This window comes from Homo sapiens, chromosome 12, assembly GCF_000001405.40.
Source record: "Homo sapiens chromosome 12, GRCh38.p14 Primary Assembly".
Classification (NCBI taxonomy): Eukaryota; Metazoa; Chordata; class Mammalia; order Primates; family Hominidae; genus Homo; species Homo sapiens.
In genome coordinates this window covers 125,236,836-125,263,695 of record NC_000012.12, presented here as the reverse complement: position 1 = coordinate 125,263,695, position 26,860 = coordinate 125,236,836, and the positions used below count along the sequence as shown (strand labels likewise).

The following is a 26,860-nucleotide window of genomic DNA, read 5'->3' as shown; positions in this document are numbered from 1 at the left end:
GTTTTTATACCCATATCTCAGATACACACCAACCTCAAAAAAAATTTTTGAAACACTTCATTCATTCTTGATACATTTATTGACCACCAAGGGACTGGAACTGTCCTGGGTGCTGAAGATACGGCCAGAAACAACAAATATGCACGAAGACCTCACATGTGCTAGGCACTACTCCGAGTCTGAGGTATAGAGAAGGGAACAAAAACACAACGTCCTCGCCAAGTGCCAGGCACCAAGGACTTTACATGTCAGAGCTTATCAAGAATCGTAGTACCCTGATGAGAATGTGTTATTATTCTGCCTAGTCGACAAGTGAGGAAACTGAGGCACAGCCAGGTCAGACAGCTTGCACAATGCCACATGCAGTCTTGCTTCCAGTATGATGCTTTGAGGCACGTACCTCTCCATACTGTCCAGCAGAAAAACAGCTGCTCCCATCAAATGTTCATTCCACTCTGAGCTGCATCCGGTGTTAGGTGAAGTGGAGGGTACAGACACATTACATAAGAAAAATCTGACCTCAAAGTCAGGAGATCATTGTCCCCACAGATGTAAAACCACCACTGCCAATACCACGGGATAATAGACAATAGCAAACTCAGTTGATTACTTGAGAAGGAACGAGCAGTTCTAAGTGGAAAACTGCTGGGTAAAAGCTTCCCCTGCTGTGAGCTATTCAATTCATTCATTAAGGATGAAACAGACTCCAATCCACTCCATGCTCAAGGGGCCTGGGAGGCTGGTTTATTGCATCTGGGGGCACCAGGCTCTGCAAGGTGCTCCCCAATAGTCGGTCTGCCTTGAAGAGGCCCTTCCTGGCCTCTTAGCTGAATCCAAGGGTCAGAAAGTCAAATGCCTGCAGGGATCAGACAGCAACAGTAAATGAACAGAGGCAGCCAACACACTTTGCTTGAATATTAAATACATGAGAATGATCTTCACTTCTACAAAGATGTTCTCTCCTATTGTTCTCTAAACACACAGCCCTCTGGAAGCCTCTAATTTTTGACAGCGTCTTTCTGGGAAACAGAGAGATATTTGTCTCCCATAAGAAAAACTATAGTTCAAGAATGATTATAAATGGTAACTGACAGCCTCAATGTAGGGTAGACAAGAGGGGGTGGTGGTGACTGTGGCAAAGTGGCAAGCCCACGCCTTAACTAAAGGGGGCACACACTCATCAGCACCATTCCAAAAGCCTGTTTCTAAGTGGGGATGCACAGCCAATGTTGCCAGTGCTTTCTCTGTTTCAAGACAGACCAAAAATACAGCTATTTATGAGCAATAGTCCATTTTTTTTTATGTTGGCCCCTATTTTTTCAGACACTTCTTAAGCAAAACAAAACATATCTGTTGGTCAGATTCAGTCTTTGGACTGAATCCAAGCTGGGACCAAAGGTGCATACCACCAGGTCTGGCTAAGGTTTCCTTTTTTTTTTTTTTTTTTTTTGTAGAAACAGGGTCTTGTTATGTTGCCCAGGCTAGTCTCAAACTCCTGCCATTAAGCAATCCTTCTGCCTCAGCTTCCCAAAGTTCTGGGATTACAGATGTGAGCCACTGTGCCCAGTCAATATTTATCTTTAAATTGACCCACTTGTTTTTAAACTTAATGCCAAGTTTAGCCTTGTCCTGAGGTATAGGTATTACTGGTTTGTTGTGCTGGTTATATTTCTTTCTGACTCATATTAAAATAAATATAAGCTGCGCATGGTGGCTCACTCCTGTAACCCCAAGCACTTTGGGAGGCCGACGTTGGAGGATCACTTGAGCCCAGGAGGTCGAGGATGCAGTGAGCTATGATTTCACCACTGCACTGCAGCCTGGGCATCAGAGCGAGACCCTGTCAGAGCAAGTGGGCATCATTTTTCATCTCCTGCTTAGGGGAAATAAGGGCCATTGATTATGGAAGCAAATGCCAGTGTCCAGGGACACATATAACCCCTTTTTCTGGCCTTCCTCTGGTTAAATAAATCTTCCATTCAGCCTCCATACACTCCAGATATTCTGAAACCATTACATTTTCATGTAATGTTATTCTTTCAATAAAATCCGTTGGTTAATCACATAGCTACTAATGACAATTTGAATTTTCTGCACTTGTGGAGCACGGAATATTAATAAGTTTCAGATAATACATCCTGATTTGGGGTATAGGAAATATGGTCATGGTATACATGAGTTCACCTCTCACCAAATATCACCAGTGTGCAGAATTCCTCTCTCTTTCAGCTAAGCATTAAAATCAATTCCACTGGATCTTTAAATCAGACAACGATATTAGAGCAACGAAGACCACCTGGTACACAGTCCCATCCCAGGCCCTAGGATAGAAGCCAGAGAATATAATAGCACATTTCAGGTCCATGAAAAGTGACCTCTGAGGAGACTCACTCTGAATTTTGTGGCAGTCAATGAACAGTGATCTGAGAGATTCTTTCTTGTATGTGCCCTTACATCATTTTGCAGGAAAAGAAAGAAAAAATGGGCACTGAAAACAGTCACAGAATTTAAGACAGGATGTATCTTTGCCCTAAAATACCTGGACCAGAAACTTCTCACCGGGAAGACAAGTGGGTGGAAGTTGCAAGTTTCATTGCACTGGAAAAGCAGGTACGCTATTCAGCCAATGTAAACACAACCAGTGTGCACACAGCCTACCTATCAGTGAGGCAGAAGATGACTGGATGGCACACACATTATTTGGTTGTTTGAGGTGGTAGACAAGGGAAATTATTTTGTATTAATCACACACACACACACACACACACACACAATCTGTAGAGACAGGGTCTCGCTCTGACGCCCAGGCTGCAGTGCAGTGGTGAAATCATAGCTCACGGCATCCTCGACCTCCCGGGCTTAAGTGATCTTCCAACGTCGCCCTCCTAAAGTGCTTGGGGTTACAGGAGTGAGCCACTATGCCCAGCCTTTATTTATTTTAATATGAGTTAGAAAGAAATATAACCAGCACAACAAACCAGTAATACTTATACCTTAGGACAAGGCTAAACTTGGCATTAAGTTTGAAAACAAGTGGGGCAATTTAAAGATAAATATTGACCAGGCACAGTGGCTCACATCTGTAATCCCAGAACTTTGGGAAGCTGAGGCAGAAGGCCAGGAGTTTGAGACCAGCCTGGGCAACATAACAAGACCTTGTTTCTACGAAAAAAAAAAAAAAAAGGTAAACCTTAGCAAGACCTATGGTCCCAGCTACTTGTAAGGCTGAGGCAGGAGAATCACTTGAGCCTAGGAGTTAGGGGCTGAAGTAAGCTATGATCGCACCATGGTTGACACAGCAAGACTCTATCTCTAAAAAATAGAAAAACATACATAAATAAGTCATAATAGAGTTTGTACACACTTAAATGGTGGCTAGGTCATAGCGGCAGCTTGGCAAACCCTGGAACTATTTCAAGTAGTGATGTACTCCAGAGACCAAGACTCATTTTGCCAAAACTGCAAGCTCTAGCGCAAGACAGGAGCCCCAAAGCTCCATAAACGTTGACCAAACATGTAAGTGAATGGTGGCAAAATGACAGAACAAAATACGTCTCTGGGTACCAACATACACTTCGATCTCTCTCTCAAAGCTCCAACCTGGCTTGCACAATCTCTTCAGTGTGGATACCAGTGGTTTCTACCAAGTTAGCTTGCATCCATGGGCTCATTCCATGCAAAACATAATTTCTACAGTTGGGAGAAACCCTTCCCTAGGACGATGGCTGCCAAATCCACAAATGAGTGAAGAGACCCCTCTGGGCAAACAAGGTCACCGAGAGCTGACTGGAAGACTCTGCAGTGAGCTCAGCCCAAAGCCACGAGGGCGGCAGCACCCCCATCCTCTCTTTTAACCTTGATTCTAAATCTCAGCTCTTACCAGTATGCGCGTTCTCATAAATCCAACAAAACCTTAACCGCAGCATTAAGTCCTCGTGTGCTGCCTTCCCCCATAAACAAGCAAGATTTATACCTTCCCAGGGCTATTATCCAGACACATTTATCTTTATTTCTGTGCGTAAGTAATGAGTGGGATGCCACTGCCGACGAGTCCCCGGGGATTAATTACAGAAACCATTTAAGGAGGGTTCCCTCCCAATTCTTAGAGCATTTTTCAAACCCAGGAAAGAGAATTTCATTTAAAAGACCCAACGGCCCTTATGAGTAGCGTCACTACTGGGTTCCAACTCAACCCGGTGACAAATTTCAAGCATCCAGAAGGCTGACGACATTGCTGGGCTTTTCTCTAATTCTTTAAATCTTGTGACAATTACTGAAGTGACAGACATCCAACTCAAGGAGAAACCCTCTGCCAGGCAGCCCTGTGTGGCTAAGAGGTAGACCTAGTCAAGCATGAGTCATTCATTCAACGAATTTTATCGGATGCCTATAGATGCCGGGCATCCTGTTACACACTGAGAATGCTGGTTTTCAAGACAAAGTTCCTGTTCTCATAGGATTTTAATCTAGTGGGGGAGACAAAGCATCAAGAAGTAGACAAATAATTTCAGAAAGCAACTACATGCAGAAGAGATAATAAAACAGGGTGATGGGGTGATAAGATAGGTTGACTGGGAAAGCTAAACTCATTCCCACCCAGAGACTTTTCCCTCATTTTTTTCCCTCTTCTTGGAACATCACTGGCACAGTCATCCTCACAGTTCACAGCTGACGTCCATCCCAACTGGCCATGGTGTTGTTGCTGACTGCTCAATGCCGTATCGTATGTCTACTAAGGATACAATGCCTCTCCGCTGCCTGGATCACTCTTTCTCTGGATCTTTCCAAGGATGGCTCCTTCTCCGCATTCAGTATTCAGATTAAATGACACCTTGCAGAGAGGCCTTTGCTGATCATCCAATCTACAACAGCCCCCACATCCCAGTCACTCCTGATCCCGTTATCCTGTTTTATCATTTTTCTGCATGTGGCACATTGCATTTTTTAAAGATAGCAGCATACCGCGTCCCATGCCACAAGCTCTTCTACAATGTCATCTTGTCATTCTTCCCACCAAGAAGTGGGGTCTATGTCCCTTCCCATTCAATCTGGGTGGGCTTATGAGGACTTTGACCAGCAGGGTGCCATACAAGTGATGCTATGTGACTCTGGAGACAGGATCCTCAAAGGCCATGCAGCTTGCCTTGCACTTGGAGTCTGGAGGCCAACATGTTGTAAGGAAACCCAATCACACACAGAACCACATGAAGATACTCAGATTGGCAGCTCTAATCTTCAAGCCATCCCAGCCCAGGAGCCAGACATATGAATGAGGAAGTCATTGGTGCTTCCTGCCCCTAGCTATTGAGTCACCACCAGCATAGAGCCTTCCCAGCTGAAGCCCAGACATTGTGGAGCAGAAACAAGTCACCTCCACTGTACTCTGTCCAAATTCCCAACTCATAGAACCTGAGAACATAATAAAATGGTGGTTGTAAGACACTAGGTTTGGGGTAATTTCTTATGCAGCAATAGTACCTGGAACACGGCACTTACTGCTTCATGAAACCGTCTCATTTGTCTGCCTTCTCCAAGGCAGGAACCATGCCTGCTTTGTACACAGCCCTTAAACAGTGCCTACACACAAGAGGCTCCCTGTAAATATTTCCTGAACAAATATAGAGGGAAATAATGGCAAAAACTTGCACAGTTTAAAAACCATAGCATCAGTGTCTTATAGCTGCTGTAACAAATTGTGCTGAAATGAACTTGGTGGCTTAAGACAATACACATTTACTCTCTTTGTTCTGGAAGCCAGAAGTTCAAAATCAGCAACACTGGGCTGAATTCAAGGTGTAGCCAGGGCCTCACTCCCCCAGAGGCCCTAGGGAAGAATTCATTCCTTGTCTCTCCAGCTGCTGATGGCTGCAGGCATTCCTTGGCTTGTGGCCACATCATCCCAGTCTCTGCCTCTGTGGCCACATCACCTTCTCTTCTGTCTGTGTCAAATCTCTATCTGCCCACCTCTAACACTTTGACTACATTTAGGGCCCACCCAGAAAAATCCAGGATAACCTCCCCATCTCAAAATCCTTAACATAATCACATCTATAGAGTTTTTGGCATATAAAGTGACATTCACAGGCTCCAGGAATGGGGGTCATCCTGGTGGAAAGGAGGTTTATTCAGCCTACCACACCATCCAAGACAGGAGGTCCAGCTCCTGGACAACAGAGCAGCTCCCGCACACCACCCACACATGCACAGGGTTCAGCCAGTGCCACATCTGGTGACAGAAGCCAGAACCAGAAACGCAGAATCTGTTTGGAGGAGCAACAGCAGAGATTCAACAGCACGCAGAAAAGCCTGCTTGGTCATTCATTCTCCCTGCACTGACCAACGGTAGAAACAGGGAGCCTCCAGGTGAAATTGCTACTTGACTTTTTTTTTCAGAGACGGTCTTTCTCTGTTGCCCGGCCTGAAGTGCAGTGGCATGATCATAGCTCCCAGCAGCCTTGAACTCCTGGGCTCAAGTGATCCTCCCACCTTCACCTCCCAAGTAGCTGGGACTATAGGCGAACATCCCCACACCAGATTTTTTTGTTTCTGAGAGTTGGAGTCTTGCTATGTTTCCCAGTGGGTCTCAAGCTCCTAGCCTCAAGTAATCCTCCTGCCTCAGCCTCCCAAAGTGTTGGGATTACAGGCATAAGCCACCGTGCTGGCCTTGACCATCTTTTTTACCTACAAAAACTGCAATTTCTAATAAATCCCAGGCCTCATGAAGACAAGGATCTCCAACTCCTCTCTGAAAAGGCTTCTTGTTGGAATTGCTCCTGAGAAGCAGAAATCTCTGTGTAAAGAGCCCCCTGTTCTCTCAACTGCTCACCCTTAGATGAACAGAAAAGTTACCCAGAAGAGGTGAAGCGCAGGTCAATGGACAGTCCTCAACAGCCCTGAACTGACTGCACAATTTAGTTGCCTCATCGTCTCACTTTTATAATATTAGGTTGGTGCAAAAGTAATTGCGGTTTTTGCAACTGAAAGTAATTGCAAAAGCTGCTATTACTTTTTGCACCAACCTAATACAAACTTAAAAAGCAGAGGAACCCTCTAATGAAAGTGTGGGCAAATGTTTTCTGTAAAGGGCCAGATGGCGAATATTTCAGGCTTTGCAGGTCACGTCTATTCATCTCTGCTTTTGTAGCTCCAAAAACAGCTGCAGATAATATGTAAATGATGGGTGTGGCTGTGTTCCAATAAAACTTAATTTACAACAAACAGGCTGGGGACCGGATTTGACCCAAAGACCCTACTTTGCAAATCTCAGCTCCAAGTTAAAGTTTTGCCTTCCAACGCAAGCACCAACAGACCTGAAAGCAAGTTTACCGGCTCCCCTGACCACCCCTCCATGACTGACCTTCCTCGCAGCACAGCTGATGTTCTTAAGTTGCCCTCAGCGAGGCTGTATTAAAAATATATGAATCCTGTGATGTGGCCCACTCCCTTTTTTAGAGACTGTATTGCAATTTCCAAACACCTCCCTGTTTTCCAGCACGGCTGTCAGAGAAGAAAGTGCAGCGGATTCCTGAAGCTGGCCTCTGTCTCTTTCCAGCAGAAGCTAATCATTTTCAGCTGCAGCAAGATCTTCAGAGTTTGATGACAGGGGCCAGGACATGAACGCACTGACTGACCCAGAATCGCTTCTGTGAAATCCAAGAGATGAGAAATTCAAATGTTTTTCTTTTTAAAATTAAAAAAAAAGCGACACACAAAACCAGATGACTTAAAACTCAGTGATTAGGGTTGACAACAGAAGCATAAAACAGGGCCCAGGTGAATTTACTAATTGTTTCTCAGCATCAGATACCAGTTTCATTAAACCCACAATCAGTCGCTGTGACAGCTTCAACCAGAACATGTCCTTCCAGAGCCATCTTTCATCTCTACTTGTTGAAAGATGTCGTTTTCCCTCAGACACATCCACTCTCGAGAACATCTCATTTCACCTGTATTCCAACTGCCCCTGTGAGATCAAAATAAATAAATAAATAAAATTTTAAGAGAGGAAGGAAAAGGGCAGAGACCTCGCTCCAAGATCCCCAGTCCCTGCCCGGCACTCTCCAAGGACCAGGCTCAAGCAGGTGCGCTAGGTGGACTGTACTAATTGTTGAACAAGAAAAGATCCTTTAATATGGTGGAGCTGAACCCAAGGGAGCAATTTTTAGGAGACGAAAAGGCATCTGTATGCAGCAGGATACATTTGCACACTTTTCCATTTCATTAGGAAAGTCTGCGGATTTTTGACAGTCACCTTGAACAGAATCAAAGACAGAACTGATAATTGCCTAAAGCCTACAGCACAGCCATGCCGCCCCCGTGGGCAACTGTGGCTCTACAACCCCCACCCCCTCGCGCCCACATACAGAGAAAGAGAGAGAAGAGAGGAGGGGGGGTGAGAGAGAGAGAGAGAAAGAAAGAAAGAGAAAGAGAGAGAGAGGAGGAGAGAGAGAGGAGAGAGAAGAGAGAGAATTTGCTCCGCAAGCTGCCACCCTCTCCTCCCCGCAAGCCCCTACCTTGGTTCTGAGCTAGGGATGGAGGGTGGCAAAGGCAAGGGCACATCACGTGGATTTCGGCAACCCCCACTGAAATGCAAAGCAACACCCTCCCTCAGCTGCTCCCCGCATTTCCACGCATATCATCAAATCAAAGAGGAGGAGAGCTTCCTGTCAACCTCCTCGTCACAGTCCCCATCGTTTAAAGTAGGAAGAGGCGGCCGGGCACAGTGGCTCACACCTGTAATCCCAGCAATTTGGGAGGCTGAGGCGGGTGGATTGCCTGAGATCAGGAGTTTGAGATCAGCCTGCCCAACATGGCAAAACCCCATCTCTACTAAAAACACAAAGTATTAGCCGGGTGTGGTGGCAGGCACCTGTAATCCCAGCTACTTGGGAGGCTGAGGCAGGAGAATCACTTGGACTCGGGAGGCGGAGGTTGCAGTGAGCTGAGATTGTGCCACCGCACTCCAACCTGGGTGACAAGAGTGAAACTCCATCTGAAAAAAAAAAAAAAAAAAGTAGGAAGAGGCTCCTAGGCCCATTCCTAAGTCCCAGGAGAGAGGACCTTGCACTTAAACAAATACGCAATTCCATCTCTAATCCAAGTGTCTCTGGAGGGGATACAGGCAATCTCGCAGGGTCTTTGTGTAGGTGATGGGTAAGGAGGCTCCCCAGGCAAAGCTGTGGCTCTCTTGGTTAATGGACAGAAAACTAACCAACTTACAAGCAAAACCTCAAGGAAACATCTGCTGCTGCTTCCTGAAGTCTGCAGTCTAAGGGGGCTGATGAAGGCAAACAGAACCTCGCCCAAGCTCCTTTCTTAAGTTCTCCTGATCAGGATGCCGCCAGGTCTTGTCTACAATTTTTTGGTTTTGCTCTTCTTCTCAAAGTTAGTTTTGCTCTTTTTTTTTTCTTTTTTTGAGGCAAGATCTCACTCTGTGACCCAGGCTGGAGTGCAATGGCACAAACGTGGCTCACTGCAGCTTCGACCTCCGGTGATCCTCCCACCTCAGCTTTCTGAATAGCTGGGACCACAGACATGCACCACAGGCCCAGCTAATTTCTGCATTTTTTGTAGAGATGGGGTCTCACTATGTTGTCCAGGATGGTCTCTAACTCCTGGGCTCAAGTAATCCTCCCGCCTCGGCCTCCCAAAGTGCTGGGATTACAGGCATGAGCCACCGCGCCCAGTCTAGTTTGGCTTTTCTTGCTCCTTCCCTCCTTCGCCCATTTATTTCAAGCTCTCTGCAAAAGCCAAGCTCCACAGAAACAAAGACAAACACAACATTGTTCAAGAGAGTGATGCCCCCTGCAAATGCCAAAGTCAGACCCAGGTTCAGAACCTGACCCTCTGCTTCTTAGCCGGGTGACCTTGAGCATATTATTGTAACTTTCTTGGGCTCTGGAATAGGGATAATAACAATACAGCCTCATGGGGTTATTATGAGGATAAAAAATGAAGGGATGGGCCAGGCACCGTGGTTCACGCCTGTAATCCCAGCATTTGGGAAGGCTGAGGCAGGAGAACCACTTGAGCTCAGGAGTTTGAGACCAGCCTGGGAAATATGGTGAATACCCATCTCTGCCCAAAAACAAAGATTAGCTGGGCGTGGTGGTACACACCTGTAGTCTCAGCTACTAGGAAGGGTGAGGTGGGAGGACTGCTTGAGCCTGGGAGGTTGAGGTGGCAGGGAGCCATGATTATACCACTGCACTCCAGCCTGGGCGACAGAGTGAGACCCTGTCTCAAAAAAAAAAAAAAAAAAGTGGGGGGGAAAGAAAAAAGAAAATGAAGAGATGTATGAAATGTTCTCAGCACTGTGCTCAATAAATAGGCTTTATTATTATTACTGTTTCATTAGCAGATTTTGCACAGACGAATAACTGGCTAGTCCTCATTAATGGACTTAACGCAGTGCCTGGCACATGGTGAAGCTTCCATAAATATGAACCAACGGCAACACTCAGGGACCCAGCTCTCATGACAAGGTGGATAAAGTGCTGAGAAAATGCAGAGATGAGAGGGTTTAATTCTGTGTGGGGAGGAGGGGGTCAGAGGCAGCCTCCACGAGGGGGTCATTTCCTCTGCCAAGCTCCTTTGCAGTGACAGATGAATTTCTTACAACAAGACAGCTCACATTCCCATCTCAGCATCTCTCGAGGAGGAAGGCTATTCCCTCCCGGCTCCACGGGGCTCCAGACACAGAGCAAACAGATTTTTTAAAGTTGTTTTCGTCTTACAGTTAACCCCTTTGAGTTCTTAGAAATGCCACTACTTTTACAACTGTCCCAGAGGTCTGGGATGAGGTCAGGTACCCTGTTTCAAGAAAATGTTGACCAATTTGAGCTTTTCCCCAGCGAGTGCACAGACCGGAGAGTGACTCTGGAACCTAATCAGCTGGGAAACGGGGAGGAACTGTGGGTACTGAGCCAGAAGATCCACCCTCAGGGGAGACAGTCATCCTTGGTCATGGGGCAGGGACCCTGGGCTTGTCTGTGTGGTTCTGTGGGAGGCAGGATTAGGAGCCACAGCAGAAGACTTCTCTGAGACAAAAGTCCATGCAACAGAATCACAGGGACACCTTCTAGGGGTTCCGGGTGAACTGTGGGAGTCACATGACATTTCCCACCCGTGGAGTTGGCCAGGTTTGTTCAGAAGCCATCTTTGTTCTGTGTGATCTCACCCCCTGGCCATAGCTGATTGGACCAGCGCACGACACCTGCTTGTAGGTGAGCCAATCAGATTCTCTCTCCTGGACCCTTGGAAATGAGAACCAGAGACAGCGAGTGCAGGCCTCCGTGGGAGGCTGGAACAGACACGCCTAACGGAAGAAGCTGTGAGGCCACCACATGCCACCGTGGGAACCGGAGGCCTGGAGAAAGGCACTCACTAGAGAGAAGGGAGAGGGAAAGCAAGTTGCAGAGGGAAGCAAAGCCCAGGAAAGGGGAATTCTGGTGGCTTCCCATTGCCTCCTCCGGGCCCTTCCTGAGGCCCACTAGCTGCATTCTGCCCTGAGCTTCTTTTTGGCTTGTCTTGGTTGTCATTATTTATCACCCAAGAGAATTTCTTACAACTCTTGCTGGGAAACAGTGGCAATCCCATCACGTTAGGTAGTGGGTGCACCAGTGTCAGTGTATACTAGAGGAAGACCACCTCTTTGTAAGAAGGCTTCACATACAACTCTCCCCAGTTAGGTGGGAGGTTGAAATTGGTGCACCCTAGAAATCCTTCCAGCTCCCAAATTCTAGATAACTTCAGATCATGCATAAAGGCCTTCAGGCCAGATGTGGCACCTAACTGTGTTCTAAAGTGCTGTATTGTTCTTTTGCTTTGTTTTGACCACCCGATATTTTTAAAATTATGATTATTAACGTTATAAACTTGGGAAATTTCACATGAAAATCCAAACGAATGGCCTTTCTAGGAAAATCAGCTCTGGCAACACTGGGCTCGTTACTCCCAAACAGAACCAATAAACTAGAACTGAGTTACCACTGTCCCCTTCATCTGGGGAACATGGTCTCCAGTTTGCCAGAGTCCACACCGTTCCCTATTGTCTCAGCAGCCCCGAGCCTGGGTATCAGTTGCCTCGTTGAGTTTATAATGCTATTTTTCTTATGGTAGAGAAAGGTTTCTTTATAATCAAGTGCCTATCAAAAGAGTTCAAAGATAGGCAGAGAGCAGCGAATTTCTTAAACCCAGACTTCTTCCCTCTCATACATTTCCTGTGTGAGCCCTGCAGGTATTTCAGTTTGCAATCCCTGGTTTAAAGGCTCATATAGCTGAACCTAAGTATGACTCCATCTTAAGCCCCATCCTTGAAGAAAAATCTCAAGACGCAAAATACATTTCCATCCAGTTCTTTTTTCTAAAATGCTATTTCATGGTATTTAATATTGAATGTTTAAAACTGGCTGGTTCAGCCCAAATTAATGATAGTTTTTGATATTTTCAAAAATCATCTCACTTTCTGAGCTAAATGCACCATGTATGGAGAAGCAAATCCCTTCTCCATGCCATTAAATCCTTAATCTCTCAGGCCAGCCCAGGAAGACACCTCTGCCCTATTGAAGGATGATGTCCTACTGAAGAAATCAAAGGGGATGCCACTCACTCCTGAGCACTGCTTTTCCACTTATTGTTAAATTAGCAATAGTCGGAAATGATCTCTTCTTTTTAGAGAAACCTCATTAAATGTAACAACAAAATCAAATAAGGAGAACAGGGCACTGAAGCAGAGGAAATGCTGAAAGGTCACCTTGGCAGTTGTGTGCACAGTGTGCTGGGCTTTTTAAGGGAATAAAGGAAGACTCAGATTTCCAGGAGGTAAAGATGGGGACAGCCACTTCCTTTTACCCAGCAGACCGTGGGCAGGGGCCTGCAGGCTCCTGAGTGTGGATGGGATATTTTTGAAACATAAATCGCTGTGCTTGCTGAGCTCTGTGATTCTTTCTCACTTGCAGCCCCCTCCTACTCAGTCCACTGGGTCTTCTGGGCTCACTGCTTCAGGGAAGGGGGAACCCAGAGAGAGCCAAGGAAAGCAAAGGGGATGCTCAATTTTTGAGTTTCAAAAGCCTGCACCTCTTGGAGCACACTAAGTGCTCCTGTGCTTAGACAAAAGATTGGATGGAATTGGTGATAAGCCTGAGCGAAGTTTCCATGCTGGAGACTGCGCAGGATCCTGGACTGGGGGCAGTGTGAGCAAGAGGGGAAGGGGACACGATGAGGGTGAAAGGTCAGCAGGGCCAGGACGAGGGTCCCAAAGGCAAGAGGACCACAGACACGAGGGCGTCAAAGAATCTGGAGAAGGCCTGATATGTGCAAGATGGAACAGCAAGGTAACTCTTTCTGCCAAGAGCAAAGTGACTTGACATTTTCTTTATGCAATGGGGACTTATTGCAGGTAAATGAGCCAGTTTTGCACAGGCTTCTGAAATACCACGAGGAGCTCACCAGGGACCTTGTCTGCAGCACTCACATTTTCCCACCTGCTGTGCTGGGCACTGGGGTGTGCCGCCCAGATCCCCCCACAATGTGGGCCTTTTTGCCCAGCTGCTGTGACGCTGCTGTGGGTGGCCTTAGCTGTCAGCTGACCTGCCCGTGCCCAGGGTGACGCAGAGCCAACTGACTCAGTCAGGGGTGTAAAAACACAGGCATGTCTGCTTAATGGGGGATTCTCCCAATAAAACGCCCTGCACTCTGGCCTCCGCCTCAGAGTCTTCCTCCTGGGAACTCAGCCTTGTAACCACTGGCCTGTCCCCCAGACTGGTAACCACTAATTCAGGGCAAAGGTGATGTCTAGGTCCCACTGAGTTTCTTATGAGCTGTGTGGCCCGATGGGGGACTCTCTGAACCTGTTTCTTCTAACTGTGACATGAGATTAAGGATACTTGTCCCACCCTTCCCATTGTCAGACCACGAGCTCTGAAAGGGTCTTACAGATCCCTTCATCTAATCAGTCACCCAGTGCTTGATGATAGCTTGATGACAACTGTCAAATTGCTTCAAGACCTGCCTGACATTGCCAGTAATTACCATCTTGGTATGAATTTCAGTGATGCAGAACCCCTGTCAGAGACAGCTGCGTTTGTAAAAGCAAGTCTGGATGACACAGTGATGATTACATCATCTCCATCTTCATCGCCATCTCATAGTAAAGTTAACCCACTGTGGCATCTGGCTGATGGTTTTGTGGGAGAGGATTCTATGTCCCACCGCAAACTAATCACTACTAATAGATCAACTTTCTAGATAATTCCTCGGCAATGTGGTTCAAAGAAAGACCTAACAGCTCCTGCCCTTGTGAGAATTTTCCTTTTGTTTCACTCGGTGGTTCTCAGAGCGTGGTTCTCGACCCGGCAGCACCTGCAGCGTCTGGGAACCTGCTAGAAATGCAAATCCTCGGGCCCCACCACAGGTCTACCGATCAGAAACTCTGGGATGGAGCCCAGCAGATGCCATTTAACAAATCCTCCAGGTGATCTTATGCTCACTCAAGGGTGAGAATCACTGAGCTAATTTAAGCCTCTGAGCTGTCACTTGTCTGAAAGATTGTTTCAGGTCCTGTGGTCCAAGGATCAGAAAAATTAGCACAAGTCTTACCGATCCCAAGTCACCATGAGAAACACAAGTCCAGAGAGGTATGTGAAGCCCTCCCCCACTCCACCTGGAGGTCACATGCTCATAAGGGGCTCAGTGGCACCTAGACCTGACCTTTGCCCTAAACCAGGGGTTACCAGTCTGGGTGACTGGCAGGTGGTTAATAAGAGGAAGGTGTCACAGGTTGGGTTCCCCAGGAAGAAGACTGATGGAGATGACAGCAGGACATGTTGGTGCGGACCCTCAGACCAGCACCTGCAGAAGGGGAAAAAGCAGCCACAGTGGGCAGAGGGAGAAGGGGAACTGTGGTGCAGGCCCAAAATCGACTACAACTGGGCAGACATCCTCACATGCTCCCCATACCCCACTCCCCTGACCCAGTCTCCTTCCCACAAAAAATGCTAGCCTAAAGCATAAGCCAACACATAAATAAAGCAGCCAGAATCAACTACACTTCTGCCTTTAAGTGGAACAGATAGATTACTTTATAATTTATTAGCCTTCCATGGGGCACACTCAGACACAACGCTATAGGCACATTCAGATGGTTTTCTACACATCTAGCGATATAAACTCTATCAAACGCTATATAAATCCAGATAAAGGTAATAAAGTTAGTGTAGTAAAAAACCAATGGCAATGCAATCATTGATGCCCCCTGGTAACCTATCTAAAATATTACAATAACTCAAGTCTCCATATGGAGATTTCATTTTCTTTTTCTCCTCTGAGAAAAGCCTGTTGTGAGCTTTAAGATATTTAAATAAGGATAGATTGAATTAATATGGTTTACACTCATAAAGATGCTTTTTCCGGTGTTTCTGAGGTTCTCTTTTCTTGACTATATCTCCTGCTAGCTCCTAATTTTTCCTCCTGAAGAAAGACAAGATCAGGGAACCTCAGAATTGCAGAGCCGTCGCTTTAAACTACAAGCTGTGGGTATCAAAATGCCTGCAGGTGACAGTTACAGCCTCTTTTCAGACTCTCTTTCCTGGTCACCACCTCCAAGATCTGCTTCTGGGAATAAAAATCATGGTGGCTGTGATTTTATGTAAAGTCTTCTGCCATGCTGCCTGGCTGCATAGAACACATGCGCTAATCCAAAGCCACACTGAAGGATGTGTCCCCAAAGCAGGAAGTGTCTCAAGGTATCTTTTAGCTGCAAATCACAGAAAACCAACTCAAACTAGCTTAAGTGAAAAGTGAGTTAATTGGCTGGAAAATAAAAAAAAGAGACAGCAAGGAGTAGTCCCTACTTCGTGCCATCTGGAGGTGGGGGCGGCACGTTCCCACACTGTCCCAGTAAAAGTTCTGAAATGAGGTCTAATAGGTCAGGCCTATCCCAGGGCCGGTGACATCGGCTAGGGGAAATGCTATGCTCTGATTGGCCAGGGGGATGCTGTTCTCTAATTGGTCAGGGGGCTGCTGTGCTCTGATTAGCCAGGGGGCCATGTTCTGATTGGCCAATAGGAAGGCTGTGCTCTGATTGGCCAGGATGTTATCTCTGATTGGTCACTTGTCTCCCTGGGGCCAAGATATGTCAGCCACCCCTAAACCAAATATGATCGCTGGGATGGAAACATGGACATCAAGCCTGAAGAATCATCGAGGAATGCCTTTCAACAGGGTACAGACGGGAGTGGCCTGGCAGGGGCATCAAAGATGGGTTCATGTCGCATCATCTGTGAATAGGCAGAATCTTAGGAGAACCTCCAAAGATCCCCCAGAACCTGTCTCCTATGAGGTTTTAAACTAGATAGAGCCTGTTATACGAAACTGTCCCATGCAAGTTGCCATCAAACTAAAAGCAGACAGAATGGAGCTTTTTCAGCCTGAAGATGGGATGTGATATTTGTGTCTCATACAAGTAAGAAGCCTTTTAGGATTGTTCTGAACAACTCCAGAAGTTCAAAGGGGTGGGTGATTATGGACACAAAGAAAGGAGAAAATAAGGCGTAACAGTCAGATGTGAACTTTGATGGAATGGGTTACCTTATAGGTAGTGAGTGCGTCATTACTGGAAGCAACCAAACAGCACACAGAAGAAATATTCCTGCATAGGGGAGGGTCCCCTCTCAGATTCCTTTTATTTGATTTAATGTCTTCTAAAAATACTATCCCAAGCCTTAAATAGTAATAACTTAAGTGGAAAATCCTGACTGTGCCCCTACCCCCACCACCTCCCCCACAAACCCCAGGCTCTCCCGGTGGGAAATGTGATGAAATGCTGAAACCCCAAATGGTGTCACATCAGAGACACTGGAAGTGCCTAACAAGCAGATGGATTCAAAATGACAGATGCCTCCAGACTGCAAAATCCATCACTTCTGTCCACAGGAACAAAGGGTGAGAAGATAGGTGCCTGAAAGCCGGCTCCGATTTAAGAATCAAAGCACTTCACAAAAGAGCCCGAAATGGAAAAATCAGTATTTGTTTGTTCTCTGAAGCCAACACTGGAACCAGGGCTTCCTCTTTAAATGGCACTGTGTGTGCTGGAGACGCTGAACTTGTCCTGAAGTCTCGCATGTTGTGCATTCATGCCGAAGCAAACGGGAATCACTTAATAAGGGCTTCCAAATGCCACTGCACAAATAATAATAGTAATCACAATCATAACACCGGCACGCTGTTTCGAAACAAGGCATCTGAGTGGGGACAGCATGTTAATAAACAAGATGAGAGACGCAGCCCAGGAAGCTGACTTCCTCAGAACAGAACGAGTCCCCTATTCATATTCATAATCCTTTGCATTATTTACACGGATCAACTTGCTCCCTAACTCCAAACCGGCTTGAGTTCCCTGTGGCAGGGAAGGCGGGGAAAGGAGGGGCCACCAGCTAAGCTCACACTGACAGCAATGCTGGTTTTTATGATCTAACAGGCTTGACATTCTCCTCGGCACAGAGCGACCTCCAGTCCAGTCAATACTGAGAGCTATCACTGTCATGAAGCGGAAAGCCAGCAGGATCACTGGATCACTGGAGAGGCAGCGCCAGTCACTGCCAGGGCCCAGATCAATCCCCACTGGTCAGTGGAATGGCTCTGCCCATCCTTCCAGTGGAAGAAGCACACGAGGGTCCCGTTTTGTGTTAAAATGGTCCTTGTTATTATCACTAGCCCAGCCTGCATCTGGCTGCAGAGATGTCGGGTGAATCAACTCAGGTATCCCCAGGGAGGCCTGACCTGGCAGCTCGGGACCCCATTTCAGAGCCTGGACCCTGGAGGACTGCTGGGGTGTGGGGTAGTGGGACAAGCCTGGGACACCTGCAAGGATGTGATGTGGGACAAGCCAGAGGCTGGAAGGGTCTGGGACATCTGCCCAGCACTCCCCCGGCACTGCCTGGGCTATCTGCCCACCTGGCAGAAGAACCAATGCTGCCAGGCCTGTTCCCAGGGCTAAGTCCCCCCCCATCCCCCGACATTCTGTATGAGCAAGGGGCTGGGGTGCTGGAACCGTCAAACATTTCACAGATGAGACCAGCTAGGTCTGACACTGTTTCCTGCCGGGGAGCAGCTGCTGCCCCTCCAAGTCTAGCTACACAGAACTGCACAGGCCCCATCGAAGCCCCCCATCCTGGGTCCTGCCTGTCTCAGGAGTCAGAGGGCAATGTGCTCTTCACAGACTGCCCTGGCTGTGACCTTCCAGGGTCAGAATTCCAACCTGATCCCAACAGTTCTTACCTCGGCCACCTGTGACCAGGATCAACCTGCAGAGGGGTGGGCGGGAGGGGCAAGAGTTGCCTGGTTGCGGGGGGTCTTTTCCTGGCAGGCATGGTGGGGGCCAGAGTAGCAAGTCATTTTCCTCCCTCCTGAACTGCAGTGGGGGGCTGCCTGGGGGGGCATCTGGGAACAAGGAAAGGTTCTTCATTTTCAACATTGCCCTTTTTTTATAAAATGATTCTGAAAAGAAACCAAGTGAAAAGAAAAATAACAACCAATAAAACGAGAGGAAACCAACAAAAGTACTTTTGTTGTTGCCTTAGAATTATTTCAAGGGATACGGGCTTTCCACTAGTGCTAGTAATTCAGAATTGCTCTCGTCCTGGGTAAATACTTTTAAGTGGAAAAACTAGCAGAGATGGTCGGTGCTGACTGATGTCTGGGAAACAGTTGCCCAGCTCCATCCGCCCCAATTGCACAAATGGGGAAACTGAGGGGGAAGCCGAGAGAGGGAAGTGAATTCACGCAGATGGTGGGGGCAGGGGTGACCTAAAGGCCCCTGGCCAGACATTTCCACTCCACCATGCTTCTTTCAGCGGCTCAGGAGCTGCCACCAGCACTCTCACCTAGGAGGGAATTTTCATAGTAAAGCCATCCTGCAACGGCTGCCTAGATGAGGACAAGCCATCATCCCTTCGCATGGCTTTGAAGGTTTTGTTCAAGGGGGTCTCGCTGTCATGTGAATGAACTGACCTTCTCTGGGGAGGGGAGGAAGGTCTCCTTACCATAAGCCAGCACAGTCGGAACCACTTCGCTGGCACTTGGCTGGTAAAATTTTTGTCCAGACACCCACCTTCAGTTCCCTTGGGTGTATACCAGTGACAGTGGCCGAGAGGAGGTGTTGAACAGAGAACACTGGGGAAGATGCAGCCTGGGAAAGCAAGGCCCCACATCAGCGGGGTCTGGGCCCTGGGTCCCCAGGCCGGAAGCTGGTTTGGCAGAAGCAGCTCCCTGAGGGGCCAGCACTGCACAGAGCTGTGCCATCCTCTCCCCATAGCGCGGTCATGCCTCACACCCACCTCTGCTCTCACTCCAGAAGCACTGAGCCTCCCCAATAAGTTGAATAAGTTGAAGATGGAGCTGCCCTGTCACCCAGCAATTCCACTCCTGAGCATAGACCCAAGGGAACTGAAAATGGGTGTTCGGGAAAAATGTACACACTCATGTTCGTGGCAACATTATTTACAATAGCCAAAAGATGGAAACAACCCACGTCTATCAACCGACGAATACACAAAACGCAGCATATTCATACAATAGAATATGATTCAGCCATAAAAAGAATGACATTCTGACACAGGCTACAACGTGGGTGAACCTCAAAAACATCACGCTAAGTGAAAGAAGCCAGACACAAAGGCTGCATTGTGTGTGATTCCATTGACAAGAAATGTCCCGAATAGGCAAACTCAGAGAGACAGGAAGGAGGTTAGTGGTGGGCAGGGGCTGGGGGGAGAGGGGGCGTTGGCGGTGACTGCTAATACGTATGGGGCTTCCATTCAGGGTGAGGCAAATGCTGTGGCTACATTTGCAGGTCTGCATTCGTTCAGGTCTGCAGAAACAGAAAACCAAATACTGCATGGTTACACTTACAAGTGGGAGCTAAACGGGGGTACTCACAGACCCAAAAATGGGAACAACAGACATTGGGGACTATGACGGAAGAGGGATGGGGGGAAAGGGCTGGAAAAACTACCTATTGGGTACTATACCCCCTACCTGGGTGATAGACTCATTTGTACTCAAAACCTCAACATCACCCAATATACTTTTGTGGCTGGCCACAGTGGCTCACGCCTGTAGTCCCAGCACTTTGGGAGGCCGAGGCAGGCAGATCACTCGAGGTCAGGAGTTCGAGACCAGCCTGGCCAACATGGTCAAACCCCATCTCTACTAAAAATGCAAAATTAGCCAGGCATGTTGGCGGGCGCCTGTAGTCCCAGCTACCCAGGAGGCTGAGGCATGAGAATTGCTGGAACCCGGGAGGCAGAGGTTGCAGTGAGCCAAGATTGTGCCACTGCACTCCAGCCCAGACAACAGAGTGAAACTCTGTCTCAAAAAAAAAAAAAAATTAGCCAGCCATGGTGGCGGGTGCCTGTAGTCCCAGCTACTCAGGAGGCTGAGGCAGGAGAATCCTTGAACTCAGGAGGCAGAGGTTGCAGTGAGCCAAGATCATGCCACTGCACTCCAGCCTGGGTGACAGAGTGAGATTCCAATAAAAAAAAAAATTATATATATATATATGTGTGTGTGTGTGTATATATATATATGTGTATATATATATGTATATGTATGTGTATATATGTATATGTGTGTGTATATATGTATGTGTGTGTGTGTGTGTGTGTATATATATATATATATATATATGAAGAAAGAGAGAGAAAGAGAAAAGAGCACAAACCTGCACATGTACCCCGATTCTAAAATAAAAATTGAAAAAAAGAAAATGTTCTAGGACTAGAGAGAGGTGGTGGCTGCACAGCAAAGTGAGCACCAGTCGGCACTAATGGTAAATGTTATGTTATGTGTTTAACATAATTTAAAAAAAGAAAGTGGACTAACAGGATGGAGCAGTGGGCAGTGGGAGGCTCTGGGGCTGGACCAGGGGACAACTGCTGCTTGGCAGCACCCTGGCCCCAGAGAACAGGAGATCTTGAAGGACAAAGGAGGCCTGCAGGCTCAGGCTCCGAACTGTCCAGTGTGATCCTCAGACACCCTAGAGGGACAAACACCTCAAGTGCACGGGGTTCCTCCTCCAGCTGAATGTGGAGAGGGAAAGGGACACAAGAGATCCTAGCACTGGGATGTCCTCAGGCTTTGCATCTCCACCTAGAGTCAGCTTAGTTCTGGAGTGGTTCCAACTAGGCTCAAGGCCAGGTTCTGCCACTGATAGGCTGTGTGATTTGGAACAAATCACTCAACCTCTCTGGGCCTCAGTTTCCTCGAGGATAAAATGGGAATGATATTGGGAGACTGAGGTGGGAGGATTGCTTGAGTTCAGGAGTTCAAGACCAGCCTGGAAAACATAGCAAGACATTATCTCTACTACAAATAAAACAAATTAGCCAGGCAGGGTGGTACATACCTCTATTCTCAGCTACTCAGAAGGCTGAGGCAGGAGGATTCTTGAGCCCAGGAGGTTGAGGCTACAGTGAGCTATGATCACACCACTAAACTCCAGCCTGGGCAAAAAAGTGAGACCCTGACTCAAAATTTTTAAAAATGGGGGTGATACTAGGACTGGGTTCATGGAGATGATGTGAGGATTAAAAAGGGAGCTCTCCTATGGTATTTTAGAACAGGACTTGGCATATAGTTAAGTATCTCAGAAAATACTCGTTGTTATTCTATTCATTCACAACAGATCTTTGGAGGACCTGCTACATGCTGGGACAGAACTTCAAACCAGAACTGAGTGGACTTGCCATGCTCCCCACGGGTCTGCCTTCTAGTCCGATTTCATTTGCAGGAAGGAGACCTCCCTTGAACAGGTGGACCACAGATACACCAAGTGCAGCCAATGCTAAGAAAACTTATACACATTGGTCATCAAACTCTATTCATACACATCTATAGCAAGGAGAGCTTTAGAAACTGTGTTAGTTTCCTAGGGGTGCCATGACAAATCGCCATGGACTGGACGGCTTCTAGCAGCAGAAACGTATTTTCTCATGGCCCTGGAGACCAGAAGTCCAAAACCAAGGTGCCAGCAGAACCACGCTTCCTCTGAAGGCTCAACAAGGTGCCAGCGGAACCATGCTTCCTCTGAAGGCTCAACAGAAGGTGATGCTGGAAACCCACTGTCGTACAGAAAGGAGAGTGAGAGGAAAGAGGGAATCTCGAGTCACGAGTCACATCCAGATGAGTCCAGACAACACTCCTTTAAACAGGGGGTCCAGGGCCTGGGGTGAGTAAACATAATTCAGGGGTCCATGAATGTGCATGGAAAAAACTCACATCATGAAACCCCAGCTGAAATAGAGCATCACAAACTGAAGCAGCAAACCTATGTGTGTCAGCAGGACCTGTGATCTTGCCTCCAAGAGAAGCACAGGTATTTTTATATCCCATTCCCATTTTTTCAGATCTCGAAATATCATTTACGCTCACCATGACCTCAGAATGATGCCTGTTTTATACCCCACTGTATCTTGGTATTTAAGCATGTTGGAAAAGCAAATTACCATATCTCAAATTTCTTTTTCCTTATATTTTGATATCTGGAGTTCAATAAAATTGGTTTCTTTTGTCATCCTCTGTATTTTACGATATGCATTTAAAAGACATTTTTCTCAGACAACTTCATCTAACTACTAAAAGGACCCGTGGCACGAAATGGGTTAAGAATCGTTGTTTTAAAGGAGGTACTCGCCCTACCCCCGCCCACCACCGTTCACTCACTTCTGGGGCACTGGAGACTTTCACGCCCACCCGTTCACTCACGCGATCACTCATTCAACAAATGTGCATTGAGCACGTGCTCTCCGTCAGGCATGGGACGAGGGCCCGGCATTTTGGAGCTTCCAGCCTAGCAGCCTAATAAAAGCAGCAGACATTTATCAACTAATCCCACCACAGAGTCCGTAATCACACACTGCAGTGAGCTCCGTGAACACAAAACTTAGGGGGCACAGGGAGCTCACACCTGGAAACTGGATGCAGTCCGGAAGAGAGATGGGAGTCCAGGAAGTAGTGTTGGAGCTGACATGCTCTGCATTCCATTCCCTAGGAGCATGCCTGTCTAAGAGTAAGGTGCATGTCCTTTTTAAAAACTTCTGCTTGAACCAAGAGGTCAATGCTGGGGTATCTGGGACTCATTCCTACCCTCTGACTCCAGGCCATCTAAGGCCAGAAGTTTTGCTCACGTGGGTTTGTTTTTGTTTCTGCTTTTTCAAACTGCCCATAGATGAGGCTTACTTGCAAGGAAGCTTAGCAGGGCCCATAAAATGCACTACTGAGTCCCAGTAAGATGTCAGCTCTAATAACAGCCCTGTCAAAAGGAAGTAGGTAGCTGGGAACATGCCATTAACCCAAATAGCACTTCTGTGAGGGCTGTTCTACCACGGATGCCATGGAAATGACAGGGACTTGGGCCAAAACCAGCCCCAGTTCACTCCCTCACCCCAGGGTGACAGCCATAGCCCAGAGACACTCAACGTGTTAGGCAGGGTTTTGTTGCAGAGAACAGAATCCACTCCAGTTCGGTGAAGCAGAGTTGTTTTTCCCAGGGGCAAAGTCCTTACAGAATCACCAGAAGGTGGAAGGAATGAGCTCTACAGGTCAACGTTCCGGAAACGACCCTGCAAGCCACATGGCAGATCCAGGGCACCAAGGGAGCTGTTTTCTCTTGTAAGATGAAGATGCCACCAGCTGAATTGGGATGTTGTCACCACAGCTGCTAGCTCCAAAATCACGCCACAACCACCATCTGGAAGCCACTGCAATAAGGCAGCCACTACAATCAAGAAAAAGCCATAATCCACAGGCCACCCCTACTGCACCAATGCCTGCGGCATCCCACCCCTTGAAGCCAGTACCACAAGGCCTGCTCTCCACTTCCCCCCAACAAACCATGAGCAGGCAGTGGGGCCTCGGTAACACCATCTCGCGAAAGCCGGGCACCTCCACGGCAGCGCTCGCCGGGAGGATGAGCAGAGGGTAGCCCTGGCTTACCTCTCCCTTCCGCATTCACATAAGTGCCCCCAGGCTGCCACACTCAATTCTGGGACTCTAGTGCCATCAGGGAAGACGCATGCCATCCTGTTGGTCCTATGGAAAGGCAAGGATGCTGGCTGAAACAAAAGACAGCCATCTAATCACTATGAGAAGACCACCTGAGAACAAACGCAACACAGGCAAATACAGAGCCAAGAGATGAAAAGAAAGAGACGAGGATCCAGTGGAACTCCCTAAGTTCCTGGATCCAACCATTCCTGACGCCAGAAACCCTAAACTTTTCCTTTATAGAAACCAAATGGGAATTTTTTTTCTTAAAGCCGTTTGACTTAAGTTTCTGTTGCCTGCAACCAAAAGATCCTGACTATGACTATAATTCAATCCCCAAGGCCAGAGAGCCTTAGCCCTATCCTTGGGAACATATGTCAGAACAAATCAGAACATCACAGAACCCCCTGGCCTGGCTACTCATCCACACCACAAAATCTCACACTCTTCCCTAACAGTTTCCAAGCCTGGGACTTCATCTCATCTTTCTTTCTCTCTCTCTTTCCCCACCCCAAAACTGAATTGTCCATCCATCACCTCCTCCAGGAAGCTTTCCCTGACCTTCCCATACCAGGCATCTCAATTCTGCCTCACCCCGCCCCTCACCATGCTCTCCCTGAACACGTTATTACCATAATAGTTACCACATTAGACTGAAACTCAGTCTCCCTCTAGAGAATGTAAATCTTTTGAGGACATCTTTCATCTTCTATTCCAGGCGCCACATCAGAGACTGGGTTGGTGTGGGGTTCTGCTGATCTTTTCTTAACAAAGGAATGAATGCATCTCCTTCAGGCCTACCATCTGCTTCACCTCCCCTGTCTCTTAACAATACCCTGATTCCCTTCTTTCTCAGCATTCTCAACACTTTTAAATACAAACACCCAGGGTTTTGAGAGGAAATAAATCAATACAGGTCTGTAAAACGTCCCATGTGGGTGAAACGTCGGTGCTGACCGCCCCACCTGTCACGGATCAACTTTTCTCAGCCTTTTCTTCCGTGCATTTCTCTGGCCTTCGGAGCTTTCCGAACAAAATGTTTCTCAAAAATTGAGCCCAGAAAACAGAAGCACCAGACTTATCAAAATAGCCATCTGAATGCACTGCAATAAACAAGCAAATACAAAATCAACACCTAATGCTCCCGGGAATTAACTTCAGCAGAAAAGCCCAAAGCTTGAAGAAAAGGGAACAGGGACAGAAAACCAAATTACACGCAGCAGAGAAAGCAAAGCCCACATCTGAGACTGCGTTTTTGTTTTTTTGGTTTTTTTTTGTTTTTTTTTTGGTTTTTTTTTTTTGAGACGGAGTCTTGCTCTGTAACCCAGGCTGGAGTGCAGTGGTGCGATCTCGGCTCACTGCAAGCTCCGCCTCCCAGGTTCACGCCATTCTCCTGCCTCAGCCTCCCAAGTAGCTGGGACCATCTGAGACTGTTTTGACAAACAGAGGCGACCACTTGAGAGAAAATATGCAATAACCTCCCAGAAATGTCCCCAACATCTTTGTCCTCAGAAGTCAGGCCCTTTAGAAAAAAAAGAGAGGAGAAGAAGAGGAAGAACTACAAAATCCAAATACAACCAAGTCTGGTTTAGAAAAATAAATAAGTGCAGCTGCTCTATGCTCCCTGGATCTTGGGCTTTTGTGACCTTCTCTGGTGACATACACTAAAGACTTGGTCTTGGGACATCGAGTCTGCTCCTGAAGTCATGGCCCCTCTAAGGAACCAGCGGAGGAGGCCATGACAGCAGAGGAACCCTGGTCTGTTCATTCAACACCATCAACCAAGCATCCACCATGTACCACAACAGCACCAAGCACAAGGGATGCCACTGCCTGCAAATATCAGTGCTGGTGCTGTGAAGTTCACCACCCAGGAGGCAAATGCAACTTTAAGTACGCCAACGTGGCCGGGCATGGTGGCTCACACCTGCAATCCCAGCACTTTGGGAGGCTGAGGCAGGCAGATCACCTGAGGCCAGGAGTTCGAGACAAGCCTAGCCAACACGGTGAAACCCCATCTCTACTAAAAATACAAAAATTAGCTGGGCGTGGTGGTGGGCGCTGGTAATCCCAGCTACTTGGGAGGCTGAGGCACGAGAATTGCTTGAACCCAGGAGGCGGAGGTTGCAATGAGCAGAGATCACGCCACTGCACTCCAGCCTGGGCAACAGAGTGAAGCCCTTCTCAAAAAAATAAAAATAAAAAAGTTTGCCAACTTATCCTGGCAAGCTATCACATCTAGGAAGGAAATGAACAGGGTGGTAGGAGAGAGAACAGGGGAGGCCTGCTTGGGCTGGGGCGGTGCAGGAAAGCCTGTCTGAAGTGAGAACACTGACGTCACAGCTAAAGGATCCAGGGTGAGCCAGTGGCAGCAGCAAAGCCACAGCCCCTTGGTGCCCCCTGGAGGTCACCTGCGGCACTGGTGACGGCCCCAGGATGCTAACAACCTCCTACCTGGAACACCTACCTCTCTCTACCTGGGCTCTCTCTCTGGCCATATTAGCATTCTAAGCCTGCTGCTGGCAGTGTCAGCAAGTCGATGCTTCTGGGTAGAACCCAAATAGAGAAGGGAGGAAGGCCAATGGATCAATATCCCAGCTCCTTCATGCCTCTTTAGGACACTCAGTGGGGCTTGAGCCCCAGCTGCCCACAGCAGTGACCTGCTCACTCACTCACACACCTGTGCTTGTCTTTCCTCCCTCTCCTGCTCCACTCCTGCTCCCGCACCATCCTGCCTGCAAGCACCTCTCCGATGCACTACAGGTACCCAAATCTTTGTCTTGGGGTCTGCTTTTGGAAAGACCTAAGTTCAGACAAC

General features: G+C 47.6%; 1 protein-coding gene across 3 annotated transcripts in view, besides 1 other annotated feature; it reads right to left on the bottom strand.

Annotated features, from left to right (window-relative positions):
• The window catches only part of TMEM132B (transmembrane protein 132B), a 475,992-nt gene that overhangs the window by 398,682 nt on the left and 50,450 nt on the right, over window positions 1–26,860 (bottom strand). The gene's annotated exons all lie outside the window — the stretch shown is intronic.
• Window positions 17,361–17,861: an enhancer, noted in NCBI's record as "H3K4me1 hESC enhancer chr12:125730381-125730881 (GRCh37/hg19 assembly coordinates)". NCBI's record gives its function as "activates a minimal SCP1, AML or CMV promoter by ChIP-STARR-seq in naive H9 embryonic stem cells {active_cell/tissue: H9 hESC(naive)}" and the evidence as "EXISTENCE:reporter gene assay evidence [ECO:0000049][PMID:30033119]".